At 38.8% G+C, this 21474-nt stretch overlaps 1 annotated feature.

Annotated features, from left to right (window-relative positions):
• Window positions 6028–6257: an enhancer, noted in NCBI's record as "active region_24000". NCBI's record gives its function as "activates an Ori minimal core promoter by ATAC-STARR-seq in GM12878 lymphoblastoid cells {active_cell/tissue: GM12878}" and the evidence as "EXISTENCE:reporter gene assay evidence [ECO:0000049][PMID:35858748]".

Here is a 21474-nt window from a genome sequence, read left to right as displayed (position 1 = left end):
TTCCTCCCTTCATAACATCACTTTATCTATATATTACATTTTATTTTTAGAAATTAAGGTATAAGAAACAGTGTATAGATTTACTCTTGCTTTTTAACTTGTAAAGTGGATGATTTCATTATATTGAATCTACACAATTTTAATCTTAATCACCTTTAGTAAACTCTGTTGCAAAATGTGCTCCATAATTTATTTTGCAGTGTTTTCATCACATTCCTTGAAATATTAACATGTTTATGTACATGTTATTTATAATACTTGTAAATCAATATTGACACTTATTTGATTTGAAAAATGCAGTGAGTGATTTTCTGATGCAAACTAAATCTCTATTAGTTGATAGATTTCAAAATGAGAAATAGCTTTGCTAATTAGGTTTCATAGCAGACATTTTCCATAAATTGAATGCTCTAAAGCTATAGCTTTCAATAAATTGGTTCCATTATTAGTTGTAAATACATAAAAATACATATTTAAAGCATTTAATAAGATAAAAGGGATCATTATAAATATATTCCATTAGAAAATTTTTGATATAAAAAGTAATTTGATTTTCTCAACTCCTTTTTAAGAATAAGCTTTTATTTGGAGTATAACATACAGAAAGAGTCCATAGGTTATGAATGTACAGTTCACTGAATTATCACTCGGTGAACTCACGTGCATATCCACCACACAGGTAAAAACATAAAGAAACACTACTAGCATCTCAAAAACCTTTCTCATATCTCTTCTTAATCTGCCAATTCTTTTTCATATATTGATTTGAACAAGTTATTGCTAAGTGAAAACTAGATTCAAAGCAAAACAATATATACAACAAGAATAATAGCTAATGGGTATGTTATATTAGATTATTCCGCAAACATTCACTCCCCCATCTCACACATCCATGGTAAGAATATTCATCGGCCCATTGATGCTGGGCATGCTCTCTGACTTTCTTTGGCCAGTGACCATGTGCTCATTCTAAGAAGTGTAGGCTTTAAGATGTACTGTGTGTTTTGACCCCGACACAAGGAGTGTATGCCTCAGGGAGCCACTGCGACTTCATCCTGGACCCCAGAATGAGACACACGGAACAGGCTGGCACTGACTTGCAGCCGAACCCAGGTTTGCCCCAGTTCACCTGCATACTTGCTAGGGAGAAAAATAACTGCTTTTTTTCTTACATGCCACTGAGATTTTGTTGGTTGGTTACACGGAAAAGGCTGACTCATATAATAATCCTTTGATAAATCTCAAGGAAGCCTAAGTGAACAAACTCTAACCACTGGGGAGCACATTAATTCTTTTCTTTTGTCACAATTGAAGAATGAATTAGAATTGTCAAAAGATAGATTATTAGAACTAATTTCATCAGTTGGTAACTTCTCAGCAAATAACCCAGAAGTGGGTAAACACATTGAGCAGCAACAGAATTTCCATTTCTGTCTATTTATATGAACAAGGTTTCTCAGGGCGTACATCTAGAAACATAAAATATATGAACAGAATTGATGTGAGCCCCGTCTCACTCAAATCATGAACAATATTTATCTAGGGGCAAATGAAAATAACCTGACCCCATTAATCTCATTAAGAGCTTTCTTTTTGATAATTTAAAAATTGTTGTTTGATGATTATCTGTGAAAATCTATAATGTAGTTACGTTGTTTTGACTAATTATGTACTACTAACAGTCGCAATGATAGCTCTCTCTGAAAGGCAATTAACACTTAGAGCCTTGTGTTCACAGGTAATTAAAAAATTAATCTTTCAATTTATATGCATATTTTTATCATAGAAAATATTGATGATTAACAGAGTTTCAAAAATAAATATATACTAAATACATTCTTGGGAATGGGGGCTTGAAGTGGAATAGGAATAAAAGTCCGGGAAGAAAAAGGGATAAAGTACAATTTCCCATTGTTAGATAAAATCTGATACATATATTTTTAAGAATGGACAGTGTGGGTGTCAAATTGCTATGGTATTGGAATGTCACTGAGTATGATGGGATTTAAGTTTTATTTTTTTAATGTCTGTGGTTACCATATTCCACAAATTACATCTTTGCAAACTTGTAATTTTTTGATAACAGTTATGAGATGGCCATCTAAAAAAATCAATGAAGAATACATAGAATTTCATTTCCTCTTGCAGGATGTCTGGGATTTAAATTTGAAGAAAAATTTTAAGCTATTTTAATTTGTTTACTGATTTAAGCTATTGGTGAGTTATGTATATGTCCTTTATAGACAGACAAGTGTCCCAAATTAACTGATCATTTCTGTGAAGGTAAATGGCTGTCAGTTGTATCAACCCAGCCAACACTGAAAAAATATTAGCACAAACTGCCACTCAAAGGTAAAAGTGATATGCTTTTACAAGGGAATAGAAAATAATTGGCTTTTTAAACAAACTTCTGCAATGGAGACAGCATTTTGAGAATAATTGGAAATGTTCCCATCATTATGTGATTTTTGTTGCTGAAAACGATGTTTGTCACTTACAAAATTTCTTAAATCTGCCTACTCTAAAAACAGGACCACAAAATATATAACCTGCTTTGTAACCTGTGTACAGTCCCAGTGGTATTTAAACTCATTTGTTAAAAATTTAAAAATTCAACAGCTTCTGACTGACATCAGGAAAAGCAAATATTTTTTAATATTTCAACCATTATCTACATGATTAGTAAATGGGACTGAAAAGAATGCACATGATGACTTAGTAAGACTGACAATGATGCACTTACTTTTTCCAATTTGGACCTATGTGTATTTGTGAGGTATCTTTAGAGCTAGGGTAACTTTTTAAAACGAATACCAAAATAAATTGAATTTAGAAAAATATCTTTGATCACTATGTCACAAATTATTAAACCAAGATTTAAAAAAAATAAAACCTATTTAATGACATAATTCTTACTAAAATATTAATATTAAGACTATTTTAGAGAAGCAACAAGTTTTTTATTTCATGATTGAACTAAATATAAATTATTTTTAAATAGTTTATTTCATCTTTATCTTATCTTTAAAATTCTTCTATTTACAAGAGTGTTTTATACTTTATGTAATCCACTAGTCTAGTAGTAAATACATGCAATTATTAAATAAGTAAATTGGGGTGCCTACTCAAGCATTTTTAACTGATAGGAGGCAAGAACAAAACATTGGGAGCTACTTCTCCATAAAACTTTATGCAACTGAGTGAGAATATCTTGATGAAATAGATTGTCTGCCTGGAATATATAAATAACCAAAATTGGCTCAAAATGTAGAAGATCCACCATGAATAAAATTGAAAAAGATGATAATTATCCCTTCAAATTTGCCAAAACCAGATGATTTTATGGATGTTATTTTAGACTCTGAAATTATAGATTTCTTTTGCAATTTAAAATGTCCCAGAGAATAAAGATGGAAATCTTCCCAGTTTATTTTAACCTCATACCAAAACCTGATAAAATTATCACAATGAAAGAAAACTATAGCTAAATTTCACTTATGATTATAGAGAATTAAAAAATCCTAAATAAAATCACCAACCCAGACGTATTAAAAGAGCAATAAATTATCCCCGTACTAGAGTTTATTCTTGGAATCAAGAAGTATAAAGAAATCTATTAATGTAATAGATACAAATGATTTTTAAAAAGACAGTATCAATAGATATCTTCCAAAAGCACCTAATTTAGTTTAACAACCATGTTTGACAGAGTATTTAAGGAAACTAGAAAGAATATTCCTTCAACATTTCATATATACATCGATAAATACATACATATCAAAATGGACCTCTCTGTTTCTCTCTCAGAGGTATTCCATTGGAAATCATAAATACTTGGTGTAAACAGTTACACTATTTTGTGAATCTTGGCCAATATCATGGGAAAAGCTAAATAAGTTTCAAAATACACAAATAAAGAAGTATCAATGTTTGCAGCTGATTTCTTTAAATAGGCAAGTTCAGTAAAATGGCCATTTACAAATCATACAGACGTTAATTTTAAAACAGTTTTCTAACAACTAATATCAACTGCCTAGACATATACTTAATTAGGAATGCCTAAAATCCATTAGACAGTATTAACATTTTCCGAGGGACATAGACAACTACAAAAAAACGACGCTGCAGATAAGACTTAGTATTGTTAAGATGTCAGTTCTGCTAAATTAATTATAAGTTGTCAGAATTTTAATGAGTTTTTTTTTAAAAAACATGTAACAGTGATTTCAAATTTCAACTAGAAAAATAAACATACTGCAATAATTAAATTTTTGAAAACTAAGAATGAGAAGACATTTGCACTAATGGTTTTCAAAATATATTATCAAAATATAACCAATTAAAACAATGGTACTGGAATAGATAGAACAATGAAACAAAACAAAAATCCTAGGAGGATTTCAAGCATACTTAAGAATTTATGCTAAAGTGACTTTTATTAACAATGAGAAAATATATTACTTAACAATGGTGCTGGAACAGTTGGCCTGCTTTGAAAAAGTAGGACAAATTTTCCACCCTATACCATAATCTAAAATAAATTCCAGATAGATTAAATATTTCTTTCTCTTTCTTTCTTCTTCTTTTTTTTTTTTTTCGCCCAGGTTGGAGCGCAGTGGCGCAATCACAGCTTGCCACAGCCTCAACCTCCTGGGCTCAGATGATCCTCTTTCCTCAGCCTCCCAAGTAGCTGGAACTGCAGGCAGATGCCGCCATGCTTGGCTAATTTTTTAAATTTTTCGTAGAGACAGATTCTCCCTGCTTTGCCCAGGCTGGTCTTGAACTCCCAGCCTCAAGCAATCCTCCTACCTTGGCCTCCCGAAATGCTGGGATTACAGCCATGAGCCACTGCACCTAGCTTCAAGATTAAATATTTTGAATACAGAAAATGAATTATGTTTATAATCAAGAATTCTCTAAGCCTCAAACAAGGGTTGGATACAGATTTTGTGGGAACCAAGCTTAATCAATTTTAGAACTTTCATTAAATGAAGTAATGTAAAAACGTAAATGCAAAATTAGAAACAAAACTGGATATCTGCTTAGAATGAGAAAACAAAGCTGATAAATACCATTGACATCACAAAATCCCAGAAAAATAACATAGCATTTTTATTAACATACTCTACAATATTTTTTTCTACTTTTTTGGGCTGTATTTTGCTTCCTCCTATGACAATGATTTTGTAATATAATTTTCTAAAGAGAAAAATAAAAATATACACCAGTCCTTTTTGTCGTGGTTCATCAAATCACGTTCTTTAAATTGATAGACTGGAAACCTTTCTTACAGCTTCACAACTCATAATAGATAATATCATGTAAATTTTTAGTGTTGTTGCTGAATTGGGAAAACCTCTAAGTTTCTTCATATATGAAGTGGAAGACCTTGGGGCATTTCAAGTTCTCCTCTATAAAGTCTAACCTTAAGACATTCTTTGAATTGGTTACACTAATTGAACAAACTGTCCTTGGTGGTATTGCAATGTTGTATTTTTTTACATTATTTGTATTTATCTTTCTTGATGTTTGTATTTCCTGACAAATTAGTGAAAAATGTATTTTTTTTTCAGCTTGTTACACTCCTCTTTATTAACTGGAAAATCAAACAATTCTATGGTGTATTCACCACTTACATTTCAAATTTATCTCTTTATTTTAATGAATTCTGTTTTCAGTATTGGGTGAGGGGTTTTTGGCTATATTTTGCTTCTAAATGTCAGAATTGTTTCTACTGACATATTGAAATACACAGCACATACTTTTATTGTATGGACATATACAAAATTATATATATTGCATTATCAAGTTGGAATTATTTTTGTGCATTAACAGGAGAAAATTTCTGTTATGGCTAGGTATTGATGAAAACCAAACCCTGTGCTTATAATTTTGCAGACTAGCTCCCAGGTCTGTATATTTCCAGCATATTGTTATTCCTGGAAGTCATTGCTACAGAGACATAGCTAGAAAGAACTAAATTGTACTCAGAAATGAGAGCAAACTACATACATGCATACTACTAAACTAAATGTATCTTAAGTTCAATTTCCCTTAGTTAGACCTCTAACTGCCTTTAGTCTCTGATGTCATTTAACATGAAGTTCAGTGTAATGGACCGGAAGTAAAAGTGAAAAGAAACTGAATGTTGTTAAAGTATCTGACTTTTGGAAGATTTATGACCAGAATAACACATGACTAGGACTCCTTCCAGAGCCTTGAAAATGGCCCATATAAGTGAGGATCCCTGGAACCTAAAGTTTATGGTAACTCTTTTTCTGACATGTAAAGGCAAGCTGGTAAAGAAAATACTGATCAGTTAAATAAGATAAGCACTATAAACAATGGTAACCCAAGTATGCCATTTATAGTTAAGAGGCAAATGACAAATGAGGGAAGTGACAAATACACACACAACCACACACATACACATACACATACACATACAAGTGAGTGTGGCAAATACATAAATGTATATGACTTTTTAGTATATATGTGGCAAATAAATATACATGGCATATATATGCTATGTATACATATCAAATATACAAACATTTTAGAAGATCTTCTGGTATCACAATGAAATACAATTATTTACTGTTGTTTATTTTAAAACAGAAGTGCTAAGATCTGGTTGCCTTTAAAATTTAAAATTACTTGAGAAATTCCTAATATGCATTTTTTCTAAGCAACATGTATAAAGTAATAGATAAACCCTACTATAATTGTGTTTGAACATATTGTCCAAAAATGATGTATAGATAATGCTGACATTTCCAAATGATCATCTCGAAATTTAGCCAGTATCATATAGACAATAACATATAAAAAGAGAAGGGGAAATTAACAAAGTCATGGAGAATAAATAATAGAAAATGCATTTTAGGGTTGGGCACAGTGGTGCATGCCTCTAATTCTAGCATTTTGGGAGGCCGAGGTAGGCGGATCACTTACCATCAGGAGTTTGAGACCAGTCTGGCCAACATGGTGAAACTCCGTCTCTACTAAAAATACAAAAATTAGCTGGGCATGGTGGTGCACACCTGTAATCCCAACTACTCAGGAGGCTGAGGCAGGAGAATCACTTGAACCTGGGAGGTGGAGGTTGCAGTGAGCCGAGATCACACCACTGCACTCCAGTCTGGGCGATAGGAGCAAGACTCTGTCTCGGAAAAAAAAGAAAAAAAAATGCATCTTAGGAAGATGCAGAAAAAAATAATCAGAAACAGGGAATTGAAGGAAGTGGAACAGATGTACACCAACGAAACTAATCACTCTACTGGTCCCAGCTTGACCAAGAGGTGTCATGTCTGACATCAGAGTGAGGGCCAGGCCTAACCAAGCGCGGTGATCTGTGTGATAAAGAACTCCACACAAAAACTTAAAAACAAATTTTGGGAAAAGACAGGCCCTGAACTGAGGTGAATGGTAGCATGCAGATAATTCTTTTTTTTTTCTTCATTGCTGTTTAAGTCACTCCTTTTCTCAATATTTACTTTGTGTAAATCCTGATTCCTCCCTGGATTAAGTCTTTTTACTGCATATCATTTGGTATTGTAGGGAGAACAAATGCTGCAATTGTAATATTTGCAGTATGCTTTTGTCATATTTCATTGTCTATCATCTCTTCTGGTTTGAGGATGCTGATAATATTACCTTTTCCCACAAGTACTTATAATGTTCAAAGGAAGAAAAATGCCAGCCAAGTTATCCTTATTTAATTCAATTAGTTCCTTCTATTCAACAGGTACATGCTGAGGCCAAGAAGTATCATGTTCTTTGCTGGTTTCTGGGGATACCTAGAGTAGGTCTCCCTGGCCATGTGATAGTTACATACACTAATCACAACACTGTATGATAGGAACTATAATGGAGATATCTGATCAATTATATGGCAAATCAGATGAGAAAAGTGTTGATTCTCCCCAAAGGGACACAGTTGAGCTGAGTGGAAAGAATAAGACATCATATGTCCACTGTGGGGGAGAAGGGGGCAAGCAGGAAGTGAAAATATCAGAAAAACATAGAGAAGTGGCTGATCACAGTGCACTCAGGGATGGATCTGGTGTGGACAAAGCAAAAGGGCCCCCATTCGGGGCTAATCTCACTGTCCTCTGGAGTGGTCTTTCTCTCAACTCCTAGAAAAACTAAAAGCACAGAGAAGCCACTTTCAGAGAAACAGTGGAGGCCAGAAAACAGTGCTTTGTTCTCAGAAGGAAATGTATTACACTGGCTTCTTTACTCCTGGGAAGAGGTGAGCAAGGGAAAGAGGAAGATCTCTGTTGCTCTCTATCTGAAACCTGCTAGGGCTTTTCTTTGCCTTCTAAACACAGTTCAGCCTCCTGAACAGCACATACAAATCTCTTCATAATATGAAACTAGTGTAGTATCTATTTGCTATTTTTCCAGGTTTATTATGGCACAAGAAACATCGTTTCAAGAACTTCTTGGCAGAATCTGAGGTAAAAAGTAAATAAATACATAAATAAATAAATAAAATAAAACTTTTATAGTTGAAGATGCTTGCCTTTAGTGAAAACACCAAATTCAAGATTAACATGTTATAAAACCATGGTTTTTGCAAGTTGAGGCACTTGAACACTGCAGACTTGTGAAATGACTGAAATTGGGAAGAGCCAGGACAACACCCCTCATTTCGCCCTCGCCAGAGGCAAGAAGGCAGTGGAGTGGGAACTCCTAACTCTAAACATGCCAAGTGCAGGTGAGAGCCCTGTTGCTGAGGCAGGTCCTTTGGCCTCTGAGAAGAGAAGCATTGTGGTGCATGTTAACAAAAGACTAATTTTTATTGGGTTGTTAACTTGGAGGATGAGAAACATTAAAAGATTGGCAAGAAACAGGTCAAGGAAAATACAGTTCGGTAGAGAGCTGAAGAGGTAAGCTGTGACTTTAGCCCTGGCCGCAATCTGAATGTGGTCAAACAAGCAGTGACTCTGCAGAGCCCTCACCACAGAGGAGATGACAACCTTCTGCGAAGACGGAAGTTAGAACAGCTGCTTCCTACTCTGAGGGGACAAACAGCCACGTGCACTGAAGGACACATACAAAGTCCTCTGAAACATGAGTAATATGTGAATGTGTGTGGGTGGTATACGAAAGATTTTGTTTCTTTTATTTTTCTTTTCTTTTTTTTTTTTTTTCTGAGACGGAGTCTTGCTCTGTCGCCCGGACTGGAATGTAGTGGTGTGGTCCCCGTTCACCGCAACCTCTGCCTCCCAGGTTCAAGCGATACTCCTGCCTCAGCCTCCCGAGTATCTGGGATTACAGGCATGCACCACCATGACCAGCTAATTTTTAAATTTTTTTTTTAGTAGAGACAGCGTTTCACCATGTTGGTCAGGCTGGTCTCAAACTTCTGACCTCAGGTGACCCACCAGCCTCAGCCTCCCAAACTGTTGGGATTATAGGCATGAGCCACCACTCCCAGCCTTGTTTCATTTTTATAATAATAAGCTAGATGCCAAAAATGCATGCTCAAGTCAATGACTTTCTCGATAAGTCAATGTTAGGGCCACTCTTGGGGCCATACATCCCACGTCATCTTCATCATCATCTCTAGAACTCACAAGTGAGCTCGTCATCACTCCCTTAGTGCTCATCCTTGGGGGGACATTCTCATTCCCATCACAGCAAACAGCTCCACAGTCTACACAGTAACTTGGACCAGAAACCCAGGAGTCATTCTAGATATCTCTTTGTGTCTTTACTTTAACATACAGATTACAGTTTACATCTATATCTTTGTTTACCTCTTTCTGTAAAAAACTGATATAGCTACTCCATCATCAGAGTGTAAGCTCATTGAGAAAAAGCCTTAATCCCATTTCTGTATGTCTAAGACATCATGCACTATCTTGAACACAAAACATGTTTGTGAGCTGAAATAATACTTTTACACCCAAAAAGGTTTAATTATATACCACATAATGTATGTAAGCATTCAAGCATTTTCACCTTGTTTTTTTTTTATAAAGTTCAAAGATTTTAAATGTTCGTAGTCAAAGATCAACACTCCTGTCCTCTATAGGATGGTTTGTTCCCTAATGGCTATGCAGAATAAAAAGTTCTATGGTACTCTCCTGCGATACTGGCAGGTCAGATATTTTCACTCACTGGCAGTAACACCTCAAAGTGTCATTCAGGCCTGAGGATGGTCCCTTTCTATTTGGGAGGTGTTCGGACCATCCATATTCTTAAACAGGCTCACTCAATAATTACACAGCACTATGTATCTGAAGACAAAAAATTAATAACTCTTCTAATTAGTGCAAAGAGAATTGTTTGTAGATTTATCCACCAAATGTTATTCCATTACACATAAATAAATCATGATTTTCATCTTTGAGAGTCTTCTAAAAATAGAAAACACTGACACACCTAGAGATAGATAAGAATGTAGACAAGCAGAATGAGTATTTCTGACTTCATTCCAATGGAAACATTCCAAACTAAATTAAGAAATCTCTAGCTCTCTACTCTCTTCTTTCTTAAAGCTTCCTCCCTATCTTTTTTTTTTTTAGAGAAAGAATTATTTATTTTGATTAATCCTATTCTCCCATCATTCTTTTTCTTTCATTACTGTCATGGCAGTAGGAAATTAAGGGAAATCTCTCAATGCAAATGATGGTGTGGAAATTTTCCATCTAATTATGACAGTTTTTTTTAAAAGGTTCTTTATCACTTAGAACCATCCTGCATTTTAATTTTCTTTGTCTTCATCCCTATTCACATGTCCCCTTGAATCAAACTTTTTTGAGAAATTGAAACCACTACTTTTCATTACAGAATCACTTTATTGTATTTGGTTTGAGTGGTTGATCTTTGCTTGTGAATTTCTTGAGCCGAGCTTCATGTGTTGAGCCTAGTTTATGCACTGGGCTCCTGAAACATGAAAACATCTTCCCTCTCACACTATGTCAAGTCTTGGCTGCCATCTTTCTGTAAGGTTAGCTGTAGACAACTGCTTATTTAAAGGTAAATTTCCAACAGGGTATTTGCTTGATTGTTTTTGATTGATTAATTTCCACTTAATCATTGAAACCAGAACCAGCTGCTTAAGACTGTGACAAAATGGTGTTTTTCTCACTTTCTAATGAGTCCAATGTAGTTATTTCTTTTTTTGATGAAGTAAAATGTCTCTGATAAAATTGATTTGTAACATGCATTTATTGCTTTGTTTTCTCTTGAATGCCTCATTTATCTCAGTGGTAGTATAAATGGGAAATACATGGAGACCCATTGTATTGTATATGGTGCTCCGAGGGTGAGGCTTAGTACCAATGAACAGAGACCCACAGGTGGCTTCTTCAGAAAGTGAGAAAATGATTTGCCTTTTAGATTTGCTCAGCTTGCATTTCATTTATTCTGTAAAGAGCCAACAATGACACATACACTTCGGTTCAAATTTAATTTATGCTGTTTGTTGTTAAAAATGACACAGTATCTGTTCTGTTTACCAGGGGGCTGTTGAACAAGGCTGGCCAGTTTTCTTTGAATTCCAGTATTTTCATGCTATAGGGAATTAGGTGTTTAGCTAAGAGTCATGTTTGCCCAATGCCCCACTGTCAAGACTGGGCATCCCCAGACACTCCAACAAACATCTGGTCTGAGGATGCAGTTCTGTTAAAAATAGCAACAACAACAACAATCTGAGGAGTAGCCGGTGTTGCAATCCCGCTTTCATGTTTGCTGATTGTCTCAGTTGGCGTTCTCTAGCGCACTTGAGACAAAGACATAGAAGGTGGTTTGCTGGGTTGACCCAGGAAATACACATGAGGGCATGGGGAAAGGGAGGAATGGCAGTGGGGAAGGAGGAAAGAGAGGAGTCATCCCTGGGTAGCTAGGGCATTTGTCCCCCCACCCCCACCCCGAGGGTCTTACATCCTCAGCAGTCCCGCTGCCTCGCATGCTGGCTGGGCAAGCTGGCATGACTTGGGCACCTGAGAAAAACCCAGGCAGGGCCGCTGAGGGAGAAGTTGTCGGGTGCTCAGAAATTGACTTCTGCCAATGCAGAAGTGAGCTCAGGTGCAGCGGACATAGAGCATCTGCTACGCTAATGCATGAAGCTTCCTTGCAGAAACCCGGGTAAGCCTTGTTCTTAGGGCGACTGCTTTGAACACACTGCAAATTTGATGTTAGCTTTACTGGCGTTCTCATCTGAGAAATGTCTGCCCTGTCTGGAAGGGAATGGCATTGCATCCCAGGCAAATTACCGACCGTGATGAGTAGCAGTGTGGTCTTGTGGTGAAGAACACAGGCTCAGGGGCCTAACTGCCTGAGTGTGAATGCTGACTTTAACACTTACTACCTGTGTGATACTAAGCCAGTTACTGAATATCTCAGTCCCAGGTCCACATCTGTAAAGCAGAGAGAAATCAGAGTGTCTGTCTCTCAGAGCTGTTGGGAGGACCAACCGAGATCCTAAATATAAAGCTCTTAGCACTCTGACTGGCACACTGAAGCAAAGATGAGCTGTTATCCTGATGAGGTAGTAACGTCTGCTGCTACTTCTCAGCTGAAGGGAGGTACGGTTGAGAAACTGGTTTTATCGTTAAAAGCATATTACTAACAAGTCCCAAAAAGACAAATACTGCATGATTCCACTTATGTGAGGTACTTAGAGAAGTTACATTCATAGAAACAGAAAGTGGTTACCAGGGGGCTGGGAGGAGGGGAGAATAAAGAGTTATTGGTTAACGAGTATAGAGTCTCCACTTTGCAAGGGGAAAAAGTAGTGGAGATTGGTTTCACAACATTGTGAATATACTTAACACTACTAAACTCTATGTTTAAAAATAGACAAGAAGGTACATTTTATACAATTTTTTTACCACAATTAAAAGTTAAATATTTTAAATAACATTTTGTAGAGGGGCTGGGCGTGGTGACTCACACCTGTAATCCCAGTACTTTGAGTGGCTGAGGTGCACGGATCTCTTGAGCTCAGGAGTTTGAGATCAGTCTGGGCAACATGGAGAAACCTCGTCTCTACTAAAAATACAAAAATTAGCAGGTCATGGTGGTGCACGCCTGTAATCCCAGCTACTCAGGAGGCTGAGGTGGGAGGATCACTTGAGCCCAGGAGGCACAGGTTGCAGAGAGCTGAGATCTCTGCACTCTAGCCTGGGTGACAGAGCCAGACCCTGTCTCAAAAACAAAACAAAACAAAACAAAAAAGCCATATTGTTGATAAGCTTCATCAGCCATCATTTGGACTTTATATTTATCAAATGGAATCCACAGTCTATTGTAAGCACTGCTCTCATTTTGTGGTCAACTGCTTCAACATGGAATCTGGACGACATTTCAGATAATCCTGTGTGTAGAATCCACATCCCCCAAAATGCCATTAAAATGATTCATTTGGGGCACGCAATTGAAGACTCCAGCCAGTGAAAGAGCTTCACTGCCTGCCACAGAAAATCAAAGCAGTTGTTTTTAATATAAATGCTGCCTCTTAAACAGTAAGTTTCCAATAAAGTCAGGAGGATACAAGAAAAACAAAATTCAGGAGCTTCTGGATAACTGAACATGTGGAGGTTCCTGGAAGATGGCAAGTCCAGGGAAGGCATGGAGGCCCTGCGCCCCTTCCCACATACCTTACCCTATGCACCTCTTCATCTGCATCCTTTGTAATTCCTTTATAACAAACCAGTAAAAGTTAAACAAACAAACAAATAAACAAATATAATTCAGAGGGTTTGCAGATTGAGACAGGTAACTCTCCATTCGGTCAGCATTCACATTCAGGATAGATTCAATTTTCCGACTGCAAATTCAGGAATGTGGAAAGCCAACTCCTTACAAAGAAAGATTATTGTACAAAAGAAGATGTCAGGCCAGGCGCGGTGGCTCATGCCTATAATCCCAACACTTTGGGAGGCCAAGGCAGGTGGATCACTTGAGGCCAGGAGTTCAAGTCCAGCCTGGCCAACATGGTAAAAGCCCGTCTCTATTAAAAATACAAAAATTAGCCAGGCATGGTAGTGCATGCCTGTAATCCCAGCTACTCTGGAGGCCGAGGCACAAGAATCACTTGAACCCAGGAGGTGGAGGTTGCAGTGAGCCGAGATTACGCCACTGCACTCCAGCCTGAGTGACAGAGCGAGACTCTGTCCTCAGCCTCCCCCACAAAAAAGATGTCATATAAATTAAATCAGAATAACGTACAGAACTACCAAAGCAGCCCTGGCCAGTAAAGCCCCAGGAGTTGTATTCTAGCTGTAGGTCCCAGGATGAGAAGACCCGCAATCCTGTAGAACACTTAAGTGACTAAGAAGGAAGTAAATTGCAGGCATGACCCATTATTTACTAATATTCTCACTTTTAAAGAATTTTCTCTGAGGGATTTTTGCCATTAGCAAGATCACGATGATATCAGAGAAGTACAGAACAATCTCTCAAAAGTGTCTCTTGAGATGGTAATGCCTGGGCGTGGCCCCCATTTCTCAGGCCTGGTTCTTAGTTTCAAAATCCAATTTTTTTACTTCCCAGTTCTTTCAAATCTAAGGACCAGACCCTGAGAAATGACCTGCAATCCTCTAGACTGTCAGTAATATTGGACTGTAGGAGTGTAGGATTTTTCCTAGGTGATTATACATCTTTTCTGAAACTGACTTAGGTTAATCAAATTTATAAAAGACTGATGTATACGGTAGACTTACAAATTAATAATTCGTCTGGAATCCAGGCTCCAATTTTTCTTTTTTTTTTTTTGAGATGGAGTTTCACTCTCGTTGCCCAGGCTGGAGTGCAATGGTGCGATCTTGGCTCACTGCAACCTCCGCCTCCCAGATTCAAGAGATTCTCCTGCCTCAGCCTCCTGAGTAGCTGGGATTACAGGCATGCACCACCACGCCCGGCTAATTTTTTGTATTTTTAGTAGAGACGGGGTTTCTCCATGTTGGTCAGTGTGGTCTCGAACTCCCGATCTCAGGTGATCCACCCGCCTCAGCCTCCCAAAGTGCTGGGATTACAGGCGTGAGCCACCGTGCCCATCCCAGACCCCAGTTTCTTATACCCAAAGTCAAGATATTAATTGGAAGACTGCTTATGTAGATGGAATTAGAAATAAAGAGGGTGGGATAATCTTAAGACCCATATGAACCAGAAAAAAAAAATCACCCTTGTCTTCCAGCAGCCCATACCTCTGTAATGATTTTAATATATGGCTTCAGTTGGCAGTATTAGATTAACACTAATAAATTCTCAATCTGTACTATAATATCCCTTTTTAAAGCTCCAATCAGACCATCTTCTCTTAATACATTTTCCCAGATGGGATAAACTCATTAGACTCCAGCTTTCCTAGTTACAATCATATTCTTTCCCTGCTTTCTTTAGATAACAATGAGACGGACTTTTTGGGCTTGGATCTTGCCCAAACTCTCCCATGTATTTACTGGAAATCTCTTGGCTTCCTTCTGCTGATTCCATTTGGGTCAGCTGGTCTACTTTCACTTTTAGATGAGAACAATTCCTTAGGATGTCTCACTTAAGAGGGTCAGACTATTTACGACCATTCTTGAAGTTTGCAAAGGCTTTTGCAGTGCAGTAACAGCAAAGGAATTAGCATAGGTGTGCAACAGGACTGTTTTGGTGCCTATGGCATTTCTGATATCCAGCATAGCGCCTGAAGCATAGTAGGCATTCAGTAAGCCTGATGTGTATGTCGTGATTGCTGCTACCATAGAAAGTAGAGTTCACAGAAATCCCTGCTTCCCCTTGCTATTACTCTACAATGTGTTCCCCTGGATCATGGATTACAAGGCAAAGAGAAGCAGATAGCTTCTGTATAGTGCCTGGTATGCAGTAGGAGCTCGGGACATTTTCATTCAATAGACTTGGTTTACTCGTCATGGAGTCATCAGTGCCTCTGTTAAATAAGCAAGGAACCATCAGGAAATAACACGGCGGGTGATGTCAATCAAAGTCACTTAAATTCTAATTCTAACACTGTCACTTCACTAGGTATGAAAAGATAAGTCATTTATCCATTCAGAGTCTTCTCAATTTCTGCATTTGTAAAGTGGAGATGATAGTACCTAATTTTGCAAGGCAGTTGAGAAGAAAATGCATGGCAGGTGGTGACACCTGATAAGATATAGAAAATCAGTAAATACAAGTTCCCCATTGTAACTTTCTGTGGTTTTCCTCAACTGTTCTGTGGTCCTCAATCTTCCCAGCTGTCCTATCCACTTGTTGTTGGACCCCAATAAGCCAACTCAGTAGCTCTCAGCATTGGATCTCAGTTTGGCATGTTACTTCTAGTCTCGTTTCTCCTGCCTGGCCTTCACCCAGTCCTGACCTCTCTTACTCACCCACTGAATGTCAGATCTGGAAGAAAGTCTGAAGTCATAGAACCCTGACCCCTTAGGGACTGTGGGGTGTTTCCTCTTCCTCTGCCTGCTCCTCTCAGTACCTTGCTGGGTCTGGCTGAAGCAAATATCATGCTGCACCATAGCCACATATCAGCACTACGAGTGCTGAGCTTAGAGCCTGTAGATCCAATTCTTCCCCCACTAACTTCTAGCACAGCTCAAGGGATTGAAAAAGATCCTGTAGTTTCAGGGTTTTCCGAATATCCAAGGATCTAGTTTTAGATCTGGAACTCTAAGAATTTCTATGTTATTTTATAGATACCCGAGATGAAGAGAAAAAAATATGAATTTGAAGCATTCAGCATCACCATTTCAGGCTGTCACACCAATGTTATTAGGATTAATTCCTCTAAAGAAAGGAAGAGGTGGCCAGGTGTGATGGCTCACGCCTGTAATCCCAGCATTTTGGGAAGCTGAGGCGGGTGGATCACCTGAGGTCAGGAGTTCAAGGCCAGCCTGGCCAATATGGTGAAACCCCATCTCTGTTGAAAATACTAAAAATTTAGTTGGGCGTGGTGGCAGGTGCCTGTAATTCCAGCTACTCGGGAGGCTGAGGCAGGAGAGTCGCTTGAACCTGGGGGATGGAGGTTGCAGTGAGTCGAGATCAAGCCACTGCACTCCAGCCTGAGCAACAAAGTGGGACTCTGTCTCAAAAAAAAAAAAAAAAAAAAAGGAGAGGATTGAAAGATCGAAGCAGGAATTCCTGGCCTTGCTGGGCTACCACATACATTTAATTCTTTCCTTCCATAAAAGTATGCCTCGAACAGTCCCAACCTCCTCTCCAGAGTCCAGACAAATGGGAACCCAGTGTGCTGGATCCAGACTGGGATTCAGAGTTCAGGAAATATCATCCTGGCCCTGGGGTCAGGAAAGTGGGGAGAGGATGGTTTCAGGTGAGGGGATAGTCTGCTCCTTGTGTGGAAAGTGGTGAGTCATGGATGACCCAACGAGGAGCAGGACCCAACGAGTAGGCCTCCCAGCCTACATCTTTCTCTGGTGCTAGATACTTCCTGCCCTCAAACATCAGACTCCAAGTTCTTCAGTTTTGAGACTCGGACTGGCTCTCCTTGCTCCTCAGGCTTGCAGATAGCCTATTACGGGACCTAGTTATTGTGTGAGTTAATACTTAATAAACTCCCATATATATATATGATATATATATATGATATCATATATATGATATCACTTCCTGTGTTTTGAATCTCTGGCTTCTTCTGAGAGGACACTGGAGAACACTCTTTTTTAAAGGACTTATGTGACTAGGTCAATGCCACTTGGACAATTTCCCTTCTTAAAGGCAAATGTGTCACATATCCTAACCTAATCACAGGATATCATATATCATATATATATCATATATATATATCCTATTAGTTCTGTCCCTCTAGAGAACCCTAATACAGAACAACACCATTTCTAATACTAATACGAAACAACACCCATTTATTAGCTCACAGCTCTTCAGGTGGAAAGTATAGCACAACATAATGAGATTCTCTACTCAGGGCCTCCCAAGGCCGAAATCGAGATGTCAGGCACATTGTCTTCTCATCTGTAGGCTTTGGGTAAAAATCCCCTTCCAAGCTTGTTCTTGTTGTTGACAGAATTCAATTCCTTGTAGTTGTTGGACTGAGGTTCTCATTTCCTTGCTGTTGTCAGCTGGTGGTCACACACAGGCTGTCTTGAGATGTGACCCCCTCCATCTCTAAACCAGCAACAGCGTGTCCATGAATCCTTCCTGTGTTTTGAATCTCTGGCTTCTTCTGAGAGGACACTGGAGAACACTCTTTTTTAAAGGACTTATGTGACTAGGTCAATGCCACTTGGACAATTTCCCTTCTTAAAGGCAACTGCGTCACATATCCTAACCTAATCACAGGAGTAAATTCCATCACATTCACAGGATTACATAGGAGGTACATATGGAGGATGGAGGGAAAGGAAATTTGGGGGGCTATCTTAGACTTCTACCTATTAAAGCATCTCATATGATTTGTTGCATCAATAGGATACTTCCAGCTATTATTGACATATGAATCTGGGCTGCATTATGCAAAAATTCATATATAAATATGTATCAATGGTAATTCACTTTGCTATTTTGAATTTGTGTCTCACCACAAAACTTGAGCTGTCTCTGGACACATCAATTTCCTTTTGAGGGCTGATGGAGGATCCAGCCTAGGGCATTAGCCAGGCGAGCCAGGGTCAGGGACTGGGCCTCAAAGAGCTGGAAATAGAGCGGGGCATGCAGCTCAAGGCAGCCAGGAGCTCTGGGGGAAAGTCCTAACCAAGTTAGTAGTGAATACTGAAATCCAGCCAGAAACCAGAATCCAAGTACCAATTCTAAGAGGCCAGAAAAAGACCAAAATATGAGATGAAGGCAAAGGGCAGGAGCTTGGCAGCATGGAAATGGAATAGAGCAGTTAGAAGCCAAACACAGACAGGGACAAGGTGATTGTTTCAAATGCCACTGTCTGTCTAGGGGAGCCGAGGTAGAAAGAGATGTGGTCTCTGCCTCCTTGTGAAGGAAAAGGGCACCTACAGAACGGATCCCTGACCATATTGACAGAGGAGCATTTGATGTCCAAGGGACAAGGTCCACAGTAACATTTGCTTCTGACTGTTCTGGCCCCATGCAGGCAGTCAGCTCTTTTGCAGTCTGTCATGTGAGCATGTAGAATTCATAGACAGCACATTTCCACATGTTGTGACTGCCCTTTACCATGGCTGAGCTAGCCAAGCTCCTTTCTTCTCCTACACTAAATCCCATCTGCTCTGATCTACTCCTGCAGTTCTCTCCCTTCTCTCTCCTCCATCGTTTCCCCCTTCTTCTGGGTTATTTTGCGTTATTTCTGTTGCCTAACAAAAGCCTTCTCTTGACGTCCACTCACATCACTTGCCCCATTTGTTTGCTCCCTTTGGCAGCAAAACTCTTTGAGTTATTATTACTCTCTGTCTTTCATTCCTCCCCTAGTTCCCTCTTTAACCTGTCTGTTGTCATTTAAATGTGTCTCTCCACAAGCATGTGCAGGAAACTCAATCTCAATGCAACAGTACTGAGAGGTGAGGCCTAAAGGGAAGTGTGTAAGTCATGAGGGCTCCATCCTTATGAATGGCTTAATGCCAATCATAAAAGGGCTTGGGGCTGCAAGTTCAATCTCTCTCTCTCACCTGCTCTCACCCTCTTGCCTTCCACCATAGGATGATGCAGCAAGAAGGCCCTCACCAGATGCCAGTACATTGATACTGAACTTTCCAGCCTCCAAAACTGTGAGAAATAAATTCTTTAGAAATCCCCCAGTCTGTGGTATTCTGTTGTAACAACACAAAACAGACTAAGATACCATCCAAATAGGATTTCATCCCCAGCCCCCTCTTACTGAGGTCATCAGTGGCCTCTACATTGTGAAATACATTGGTTGGCTCTCAGGCTTCATTTGACTCTGCGAATCACTCCACGTTCTTACACGTTCCTCACCTGCTGTTCAGGACTCCACACTCATTACCCTGGGGAGGACACCAAGCCATTCATGAGGGATCCACCCCCATGACCCAAAACCTCCCACTAGGTCTGATCTCAAGATCACATTTCAACATGAGAGTCAGAGCGGACAGACATCCAAACTATATCACACTCCTTGATATTCACCCAAGTGAGTTGAAAACATGTCTACACAAAAACCTGCATAGGATGCTTCTAGCAGCTTTATACATAATTGTTAAAACTTGGAAGCAACTTAGATGTTCTTTGGTTCAGGATAAATGAACTGTGGTACAACCAGACAATGGAGTATTATTCACAGCTAAATAGAAATAAGGCATCAAGTCACTAAAAGACATGAAAGAAACTTAAATGCATATTACTAAGTGACAGAAGCTGTATTAGGGTTCTCCAGAGAGACAACAAACAGGAGATAGATCGATAATAGATTCGATGGATGAGATAGTTAGATAGGTAGATAGATAATAGATTAGATGAATGGAATAGATAGATTAGATAGATAGATAGGTAATAGATTAGATGAATGGAATAGATAGATTAGATAGATTAGATTGATTAGATACATAGATAGATAAATAGATTAGATGAATTAGAGATAGATAGATAGATTCGATGGATGGGATGGATGGGATGGATAGATGGATGAATATATAGATAATAGATTATATGAATGGGATAGACAGATAGACAGACAGACAGCTAGATAGATAATAGGGGATTTACTATGAAAATTGGCTTGCATAATTATGGTGACTGAGAAATCCCACAATAGGCCATTTATAAGCTGGAGAACCAGGGAAGCTGATAGCATGGCTCAGTCCAGGTCCAAAGGCCTCAGAACCAAGGAGTTTGATGGCATAACTCTGTTAGAGGCCAAAGGCCTGAAAACTGAAGGATTGCTGATGCAAGTCCTTAAGTCTAAAGACTATAGAACCTGGAATTCTGATGTCCAAGGGCAGGAGGAGGGTGCCCCAGCTCCAGGAGAGACAGAGAGAGAGAGAGAGAGAGAATTCACCTTCCCTCTGCCTGCTTGTCCTATCTGAGCACTGCCCACATTGGTGAGGGCAGATCTCCCTTAGTCTACTGACTCAAATGCCAACCTCTTCTGGAAACATCTTCACAGACATACCCAGAAATAATGCTTTATCAGCTATCTGAGTACCCCTTAATCCAGTTGAGTTGACGGCTAAAATTAACCATCACAGAAACCAATTGGAAATGGCTGCATACTGTATGATTCCAAATCCATGACATTCTGAAAAAGCAAAACTATGGCGACAGTAAAAATTTCTGTCATTACCAGAGGTTGGTGGGGGAGAGAAGGATGAATGGGTGGACCACATAGGATTCTTCTTAGGGCAGTGAAACTATTCTGTATGATACTACAATGCTAGATACATGTCATTAGACTCGTCAAAAAACACAGAATGTACAAAACCAGGAGGAAACTTTGATGAAAACTGTTGACTCTGGGTGATAATGATGTGTCATCACAGGCTCATTGATTGTAAAAAAAATGTACCACGCAGGTGGGGGATGCTGAAAATGGTGGGCACTGAGCATGTGTGGGGG

Source organism: Homo sapiens, chromosome 6 (assembly GCF_000001405.40).
Source record: "Homo sapiens chromosome 6, GRCh38.p14 Primary Assembly".
Taxonomy (NCBI): Eukaryota; Metazoa; Chordata; class Mammalia; order Primates; family Hominidae; genus Homo; species Homo sapiens.
The sequence above is the reverse complement of the archived record's forward strand: the minus strand, read 5'-3'. Positions and strand labels throughout refer to the sequence as shown.